General features: G+C 34.0%; 1 long non-coding RNA gene across 1 annotated transcript; it reads right to left on the minus strand.

Annotated features, from left to right (window-relative positions):
* Positions 1–5,200: 5,200 nt before the first annotated feature.
* On the minus strand, positions 5,201–8,334 carry LOC124903227 (uncharacterized). Its single transcript, XR_007063894.1, has 2 exons — positions 8,196–8,334; positions 5,201–5,527 (listed from the first exon to the last, which is right to left on the minus strand). It is a non-coding gene; the product is annotated as an uncharacterized LOC124903227 (long non-coding RNA).
* Between the last annotated feature and the right edge of the window lie 2,259 nt (positions 8,335–10,593).

A 10,593-nucleotide genomic window follows, 5' to 3' on the forward strand; every position in this document is an offset into this window, starting at 1 on the left:
AAATTTTTAATTATTAATATATGTATCCTACATAACATACACATTTCAGTATGTAAATAAGAACACCACTCTGTTTCTGTATTGTACTAAATAGATTATACTAATAGATTACACATGACTACATTAATATTTTCTTTACAAAATAGTGTGGAAGCTTTTATATCAGAATAATGCTGAAGGTTACATTCCTCAAAAAGAAGTCGCAAACTCAGTATATAATTTTTCAATTTCACATAAACAATATTGGTATGATAGCTTTCTCTCGGAATGAAATATCTAACTGCCATTGTGTCATTAGTATGAAGACAATCTGTTATTTGATGAGGCTTTACTGTTAAGGAGCCTTTCTTTATTTCTATACAATGTGACAAGCTCCCATCCATTAACAACATGCATGAAGGACACTAATTTTATGAGGTGAGCATCGGCAATTTGATATGTGTATTTTCTAGTTTAATTTATACTAAGATTTCATTAATTACCATACTCTAGAATCTACACCCCATAGGTGGTTAAATTGCATTCTAATCTGAAACACAGATCTCCAAATGTGGATGATAAGAAGTCTTTATTTTGCTTATTGAATGTTAGAATTGTCAGAATAATCTTGTTTGTAAAGTTAGTGGCTGTTGATTGGAATTATGGATTGTAGAAGCACCTTTTTAATGAAAAAGTTAGTGGCATGTTAGGTAGATTTTATATATTATATTATATTATTATTATATTATATTATATTATATTATATTATATTATATTATATTATTAATTTAAGACAGAGTCTCAGTCTGTTGCCCAGGCTGGAATGCAATGGTGCAATCACAGCTCAGTATAACCTCAAACTCCTAGATACAAGCAATCCCAGCTGGGACTACAGTATTATACCATCACACCCAGCTAAATTTTTTTGTATTTTTTGTTTTTGTAGAGATGGAAGTCTTGCTGTGTTGCCCAGGCTAGTCTGGAACTCCTGACCTCAAGGAATCCTCTCATCTTGGCCTCCCAATAAATATACCTCAAATTGTGGGGTGCATTGTTCTCATGCTGAAATTACAGGCATTGGCTCATAATGCCTGTAGTTGGCCTGTAATTCCAGCATGAGACAATGTGCCCACAATTTTAAGTATATTTATTGAGTAACATATTTTAGAGACATTCTCTGCCCTCAGAAAACAAGGTGAAAGAATCCATTCAACTCTTGTTTTCTATTTCCTTAAAAGTGGCTCCTTACTCAGAGATTAAAGGCTTTGGTAGGTGGAAATAAATTTAGAATACTCACTATCTGATCCAGTCTGTAAGTTTAACTGGGTTATATCCCTGATATAATGATGCCTTTATTCTGAAAGAACTTTTCATACAAAATGTAATAGGGCGAGATAGCTCAATCATTGGCCTTTAAAGAAATGTGCGCATGACTTTATGTCACTACTTGCTAATTAATTTTAGCACACTTTCTATCATAGATGTATTATTTTAAGTTTTGGTAAAGTTAAGAAAGAATTGTTATATTTAACGTATCAATAATCATTGTCATTTACTTTGACTTATCAAATACTTCTTCATGACTAAATCAGCATGCCTTTTACCAACACTCATACTGTTATACTAGACAGTTGTTTTCCTATTTTATGATTTTTCTAAGAAAAACATTCATTTTCTGAAATAGAATTAATAGTTAACGTATACAGATTACATTCAATACAAATAATTTGTTTAATTAGTTCATTTCATTGTGCTTCCAAAATCTGTATAACGTTAATTGTATAGAAAGAGTAGTTCTGAGTTTAGAGAAATAAAAAAAAAAATACTAATTTGTGATTTTGGGTGCATAGTTATTTCTTTCATTTATTTATTGGAAAGACACTTATTGGTTACCAGGTACTGAGGATGCAAAAGTGTTCACATCATAATCAGGCAGAAAATTATTAAAAGAAAAATGATGAGGCAATGTGCTAAGCATTCTGACAGAGGTTTAAGAAGAGTTCTGTGCCAAGAGAGGTAGCTCATGCCTGTAATTTCAGCACTTTGGGAGGCTGAAGTGGGCAGATTGCTTGAGCACACAAGTTGGAAACCATCCTGGTCAACATGGCAAAACTCTGTCTCTACCAAAAAATACAAAAGTTAGCCTGGTGTGGTGGCACACATTTGTAGTCTCAGCTACTTGGGAGGCTGAGGTGGGAGAATCGCTTGAATCTGCTGAGGTCAAGGTTGTAGTGAGCTATGATGGCACCACTGCACTCCAGCCTGAGCGACAGAGCAAAACCCTCTCTCAAAAAAAAAAAAAAAAAAAAAAGAGTTCTGAAATAGTAATGTGGAGAGAGGAATTAGGTCTGTTTGAGAGATCACAGACAAATTCATAGGAAAGGAAACATATGAGTTAGGCTTCAAAAAAGTAGTGGTTGTGTTGCTAGAGAGAAAGAGTCAAAGGGAAAAAATACAGGAGTAAATTTATAGAAGTTAACCACACAGGTATATTTGAGCATGTTTAGAAATCCATATAATCCTGGTGAATTGGTGTTCTACTGTGCAATGTGGATTTTGTCATTTTCCTTCGAATCCAGAGAAAGCTAGGAGTACAAGAATCATGTGACTGCCCAGGCTTTTTCAGTTCAGGCTTCTTTTTTTTTTGAGACTTATTATTATCTCAAAACTTTAGTAGGATTCTTTTATTTAATTTGATTGCTGTCAACTCTTCATGACAGTAATCACAACCATACTTTGTCTTGACACATTTCCCCGGTCAGCTACTTTTTTGCATCTTTGCCCTTTTCAAAGTGTATTTGGGGACTGAAATGGCTTGTTGGTAGATATTCACTCTTTATCTGTTATTTGCTATGTGGCCCTCTGGTTAATTGAGAGGTGTTAACAATAGCTGCGAAAGACGTGCTCTTAATCTGATCATTGTTGCAGACTAAATTGAAATTAAAATTTGCACTTTAAGATTTTCTTTTTCAACTTTAAAAGCTGTCAGCTTTTTAAATATAGCAAGAACATGAATTTCTGGAACTTTTCTATTACCATTCTCTTCTTTTTCCCAAACCAGTTTGCTATTTTTTGAGAACATGTCTTTTTCATCATATCTTGTGAAGTATAGTCAATAACAACCAATATATATCACATAATATTCTATATTTGAATTTATTCCCTTGGGCCCCAAGTTAGGTGTGTGATTAACCTACAATTACACCTCTTAAATTATATTACTGATTAAAATGTAGTTTGTATTTACTTGAAATTGTGATTAATATAAAACTTTTTTTGTTTTTTGTTTTTTATTTTACTTTAAATTTTGGGATACATGTGCAGAACGTGTAGGTTTGTTACACAGGTATGCATACGTCATGGTGGTTTGCTGCACCTATCAACCTGTCATCTAGGTGTTAAGCCCCACATGCATTAGATATTTGTCCTAATGCTCTCCCTCCCCTTATCCCCCACCCCCTGACAGGCCCCGGTATGTGTTGTTCCCTTCCCTGTGTCCATGTGTTCTCATAGTTCAACTCCCACTTATGAGTGAGAACACACGGTGTTTAGTTTTCTGTTCCTGTGTTAGTTTGCTGAGAATGATGGTTTCCAGCTTCATCCATGTCCCTGCAAAGGACATGAACTCATTCTTTTTTATGGCTCCATAGTATTCCATGGTGTATATGTGCCACATTTTCTTTATCCAGTCTATCATTGATGGGCATTTGGGTTGGTTCCAAGTCTCTGCTATTGTAAATAGTGCTGCAATAAACATATGTGTGCATGTGTCTTTATAGCAGAATGATTTATAAGCCTTTGGGTATATACCCAGTAATGGGATTGCTGGGTCAAATGGTATTTCTGATTCTGGATCCTTCAGGAATCACCACACGGTCCTTCCAAAATGGTTGAACTAATTTACACTCCCACCAACAGTGTAAAAGTGCTCCTATTTCTCCACAGCCTTGCCAGCATGTTGTTTCCTGACTTTTTAAATAATCGTCATTCTAACTGGCATGAGATGGTATCTCATTGTGGTTTTGATTTGCATTTAAAAATATATAATTTAAATGTCAAATTTTTCAGCTTAAATAATTCATCAGTTTTTTCCACATAGATGAATTCTGCTGGCTTCCATGGCAAGAGAACTGTAACATAACATTCCTAGTTATTGAAGCAGAAACTCTTACATCTAGAGAGTCTCTGATGAAATGTTCAATTAAGGGCTTGAGTGTTAATAAATGTGTGTATTTAGTGGGTCAGGGTCAGAGACTATAAAATCAAAATGTCTAACAACATGATAAAGGGGTCTAATCTGTGGATGAGACTTTAGACTCTAGATGAATTTGGAAAAGGCCTATCAAAAAGCCCTGCTAGGGATATAAGAATGTCAAACAGGAAAGCAATGCAGGATTACCTGAATGGGATCTTAGAGACTTTGATGGGAGGACCTTGCTTTTCTTCTGAAATTGATACTATGAGAGTGTAGACACATTTAAAACAAGATCCAGAGTTGTAATGATAATTTTAAGAAATATATGACATGACGGTTTCAAAACTAAACTGCTCAACAGATGCATGGAGGAATCACCAAAGATAATGACAAGGACTTGTGGTTGTTTATTTTATGTGTGAATTTGGCAACCCATGGTACCCAGTTGGTCAAACAGTAGTCTATATGTTACTATGAAGATATGTTTAAATGCAGTTAATATTGAACTCAACTGACTTTGCATAAAGCAGATTACCCTTCATAATGTGGGTAGGCATCATCCAATCAACTGAAGTTCTCAAGAGCAAAGACAGATTTCCTGAAGAACGACTTTGGTCTCAAGACTGAACCACGAAAGCCATACTTGAATTTACAGCTGGCCTGCCCTGCACTGTGGATTATGGATCAGGACGTGACATCCACACTTACCTGAATTTCCAGCCTGCCAACTTGCCGTAAAGATTTTGGATTTGCCAGCCCCCTCAATTTTGTGGGCCAGTTCCTTAAAAGCAATGTTTCTCTGGATAATCCTGAGTAATACAGAGTACATTTACAAAATAAATAAATGACAATCTTTCACAAGACCTACTTCTTGAAGAAAACACACCATTTTCAAATTATGTACCCTTACATAATTTGACATGTAATGGCCAATTTTCATATAGATTCAAAATCTGTAACAAATTACATAAATTGAAATTTCCAGAAGTGCCCCATTACATAGTTCCTAGTCAGTTTGCCTGCCTCTTGTTTTTTTTTTTTTTTTTTTCTTAAAAAAAAAAAAAAAAAACTGTGGCTGGGCTCGGTGGCTCATACCTGTAATCCCAGCATTTTGGGAGACTGAGGGGGGTGGATCACCTGAGGTCAGGAGTTTAAGACAAACCTGTCCAACATGGTGAAACCTCGTCTCTATTAAAAATACAAAAATTAGCTGGGTGTGGTGGTGCATGCCTGTGATCCCAGCTACTGGGGAGGCTGAGGCAGGAGAATGGCTTGAATCCAGGAGGCGGAGCTTGCCAGTGAGCCAAGAAGGTGACACTGCACTTAAGCCTGGGCGGCAGAGTGATACTCTGTCTGAAAAAAAAAAGAAAAAAGAAAAAAAAACAAGCTGTGGATAGCAAATATTTTATAAAATGCATTAATTTCTTACTTGAGTTTAGAGTGCTTTTAGCTTAATTTTTATAATTAACTCTTCAGTAAAAGGTTACAAAGATCATAGATCAAGGCTAAAATAAATCAATTTCAGCCTAGGCCCTGAGCCCACTTCCTCCTTCTTGAATTCTGCTTCAAATGGGTGTGAACAAATAAAGGGCTCAAGCTGTGAAGTTAGTATTATTTTGAAAGGAGGTAATGGCCATTAGACCGAAATTTAATTCATTTTATTAATGTAACATTTTAGGAACCATTAGATAACTATATTTTGTTAAGTGCAATAAATATGTAATAAATAATACTGACATTTCAGTTAATGCAATGAAATTATAAATATAAATGTAGGCCGGGTGCGGTGGCTCATGCCTGTAATCCCAGCACTTTGGGAGGCCGAGGCGGGAGGATCACGAGTTCAGGAGAACAAGACCATCCTGGCTAACACGGTGAAACGCCGTCTCTACTAAAAATACAAAAAATTAGCTGGATGTGGTGGTGGGCGTCTTTAGGCTCAGCTACTCAGGAGGTTGAGGCAGGAGAATGGCGTGAACCTGGGAGGCAGAGCTTGCAGTGAGCCGAGATCGTGCCACTGCACTCCAGCCTGGGCAACAGAGCCAGAAAAAAAAAAAAAAAAAAAAAAAAAACATTAAAAATAAATAAATAAATAAATAAATAAATATAAAGGTATAGTTAATTTAAACAGGGGATAAAATAATGTGGTGAGATTGGAGAGAATATAAAAGGATTAGGAAGTGACATTGAATAGAAATGAAGATAAATAAACCAAGTACAACAAAAAGTTAAAGATATCAATGATACATTGAAATATAAAGAAATATTAATGCTAAAATTTACTGACAGAAATGGAGTGAACTGTATAGATTTTTAAAATTGACTCCCCGTTCATTCTTCCATTCTTCCATCAGAAATTAATTCACGTCAATAGGCAGAAATAATTTGAATTTATGTTTATGTAAAAATAAACTACATAAAATAAACCTATTTTGTATATTTTGAAAAAGTACAACCACAAAAGGAAAAAAAGGGAAGGTGATGTCAATTTAGTGTCTGTTAGAGGACTAAAATGTATTACTTGAAAGCAAATATTGCAGTGTGTTTATGTGAATCTAGAAAATAAATCTCTATCTTAAAGAAAATACTGAATATTTCCATAAGTATTATTTATAGTAGTAGGCCTCTAAATGAAATCATGCATAGAACAAAAATGAAAGATGCTCTAAATCTGCCATCTTTTGATTTATCACTCTGAAATCTGATCATATACAAATTAATGCTTTTAATTGCTTCCCTACCCAGTTGAACTTGAAATATGCTGTGGCAGATATATTAATCTTGTGAAACTAACTACAGCTCTTTATTGCCTTTACTTCTTAGACAAATTTATCTCTTTGATGCGAAATAACAAATAGTCTACAGCAAAAAGGGGAGTTTTACATTGATGTAGTTATGACATAAATTGATAACAATGAATCATCACATCCTAACATCTTTTTTTTTTTTTTTCCACACCTGAACCTGAATTGTTAGTGAGTGGAGCAGAACTGGCAAACTTGAGGGAAGAAAGGCTCTTAATTATAGTCTGTCTCAGCAGGTATATATGGCTGCAGATATACTACTTTTAGATCATCAGGAATACAGCTGGTGGCAAAAAGGAATCCTAATGTTTATTATATTTTCTTATTGGGGTAAAAGTAAATGCAAAAAAAAAAGATGAAATGTTCTAAATAAAAGTTTCTAGAAATGTATCCTGAGATAACACTCTAGGCAGAAATGGAAGAGAAATAATCTAGTTATCCATAAACTGAAATTCTTAAGATGTCAATGTTCACATTGTTAAATATTTCAAAATGTCCCATAACAAATCTAGAACTGAATTTTGAAATAAGACAGAAGATATGCATTTAAGCTTCTTACAGTAAAGATAATGTGTAAAGCTGGTATAGCAAAAATAAATCTCCTTTTAGAAAGGGCATACCTCATGGTTTTCCAAAGTTACAACTCTAATTGCAATATTAACATTTCTGGGCTATGGCAAAGAAATCTTCCGTGCCAAAATTAATGTATTAACTCACCAAATTTATCTTATCCCATCCGTTAACATTCTTTGTCAAATATAAGTTATTAAACAACACTTTCTCTTTTGAGTTGAAACCGTTGTGAACAATCAAATAAATCAGATTATGAAAATCCCTAAATAAATATACTACCTTCTAAATTCATACAAATGCCAGCTTTAATGTCTGTTGGGTTTATTTAAAGGTGGCCATTTTATAACATCTCTCCAGCAACCCTATTGTTCCCCTGTCATTTATATGAAATAGATAATCTAAGGGATAGATATCTGACTACCATAGAGTAAGTTGCTTAGCTGCCACAGCAGGTATTTGTAAAGTTGTGTTTATGAAGGAAAAAGGACTTTGAGAACCATATACCGTCTGTCTTTTACATAGAAACCAGTGGCATTTCATTAGAGAAATTTGGGAAATCTGTCAGCCCTCAGAAGCTTTAATGCTGCTGGAATGTAAGTAAACAAATAAAAAGGCAACCAAGTGATTGCAACCTGTTTTCTTACCTGATGACGTGTCGTGCATAGAAAAATAAATGTATTGGAATGTAGTAAGAATAAGAAGCCTTGCTATTATATCCTCTTTCCCAGAAGTCTTCATGTTCAGCAAAATATAGAGAGTGCTTCTGGCAGAAGAGGACTGGACCTGGGCAAGGTAGAGTAAGAGCACATTACAGAAATGAACAATGGGATGGTCCAACAGAGTGTTAAAATGTATGTTCTATGCACCCCACAGAGAGGCAGCCTTTGGGTTTCCTACAAGTCAGGTCATTGTACTACTGTATCATTAGTCAGAGATACAGTCTCAGCTCAGACTGCAACCTCTTCTAGCCTTGTAAAAAGGACTTTTATATTTTCCCATCTCCTCCCCTAACCCTATCACTTTATAAAAGGCCATTTTTTTTTTGAGAGCCAGACCATAGCTGCATCTTTTTCTTAGACTCCTATTTGTACCTCTAGTCTTCACTAAGAAGGGGAATAAGAGGTGAATCAGATATAAATCTTGAAATTTTAAAACCCAAATAACAGTATGTGAATTGCATAAAGCAATAGAAAAAATACGGAATCTAGAATAAAGGTAGTTAATAGACTCTCTATTCAGGGCCAAACTAAATATATGCATCATAACATGGCAATTTTTGAAAAATAAATAAAGATTTTTTCTTGTTTATAGTCTCAAACTTGAGGTATCTCAATTAAATATGTAGACATATATGGTACATATATTTATTTATTTTTATAGTAGATGTCTTCTTGTTTATACTCTGAAAGTTGAGATATCTCAGTTACACACACACACATGCACACACACTACTAGTCTTCCATTCATTTTGTTGTACTGGAAGCTAATTGGCTTAAGGGGCTACTTGGCTTAATTTTTATTCTACACTGAAGAGAATGTAAATAAAATATAACTATAAATTTAGACTACATTATTTCTGTGGCAAACATAAAAAGGTTTTATTCTTGAAACTTCTAATTATTCAGATAAATAATACAAATCAATAAAACTTTTACTAATTTGTAGCACTGTTCTTAAAGCATGGAGATAATATGGCTGGAGTGGGGGAGATTTACTCTTTGTTCATTGTTTTGTCCTTTTGAAATTCATAGTAACTTCTCACAGTTTTTCATTTTGAGTTATCTGCCAAATGTTTCTGTACCTCCCTTGTGATTGAATGATTCAGAAAATTCTCATGAATCTCAGCATGATTCATTACTCTACTTTTAACCTTCTAGATTTAAATAAGAAAGTTAAGATATTTTCTTTCTATATTTATTAGCACAATTATCAGGTAATAGGCAATTACATGCTTTATCATTCACTCTCCACAAAGAGCGGTTTTCATAACTTACAAAAAGATGAAAATGGTTTCCTTCATGATAACGTATTTATACTAAAATGCCTTGTTTGACAAAAGAGAGGAGCCAGGATTAATCATAAGCTATATCTCTCTTAATCTTTTTCAGGATTCTTGATTATACAGAGTTTAGAGAGGTTTACAAAAGATATTTTAGCCCCATTTGAAAGTGAGAAATTATGGAGGCTAAAAAAATGTAATCTCTAAAATAACAATGATCATTTGAATGAAATGTTTTGATTTAATTTCTCTCCTTCAAGATCCTAGGACTAAACACACTGTGGGTTTATATCAGAGAGCATAATGCCTACATATTTTACTTTGCCCTTCCCAGATAACTTGTCATCACCATTTTTATTTATATCAAAGAATATATGCAAGGATCTTGAAGTTCTGTTAACAATATTCTTTAAAACCTGTCATTGTTCTCAACAGCTATTTAAAGAAATCACAAACATTTTTCACACTTAGATGAGGAGCACTTTTATAATATTAGAGCACTATTATTTGTTTATCACTAGGAAATTTTAACAGTTCCATGTCAGTCTGAAAAATGAAGATTGAATAGATATAACTCAACTTAGCATGATTGCATATTTATCATTTCATTTTTACAATTCCTATCAATAATTGAATTCATGTGACAACAGTGAATATTGGTGAGCCTAATTTGGGCAGGTTATTGTATTTGAATGATTGCCGAGTAAAGAAATTGTCCTTACTGCTTTCAACCTATGGTAATAGAAGACATAATTAGACACCATTCATTATTGCAAATGTGCTGCCTATAGATTAGACTTTCAAAACCATATAGTCTTATTCTTTTGGGTCTATCTTTTGACACATTCACGCTCTTTAGACACCAGTGACAACCAGAAAGCACACAGTTTAAATCCAAGATCTGAACTACAGTGACATCTGCTACATAGCTCTTCTTACAGAAATATAACCTAAATATATTCTGAAACAGATTGAACATAGCTATTCTCAAGATAGGCATATGACTAATTAAATGAAAATACATCATGCTATCTCTCCCCCTT

The sequence above is a fragment of the Homo sapiens genome, chromosome 13 (genome assembly GCF_000001405.40).
Source record: "Homo sapiens chromosome 13, GRCh38.p14 Primary Assembly".
Lineage (NCBI taxonomy): Eukaryota > Metazoa > Chordata > Mammalia > Primates > Hominidae > Homo > Homo sapiens.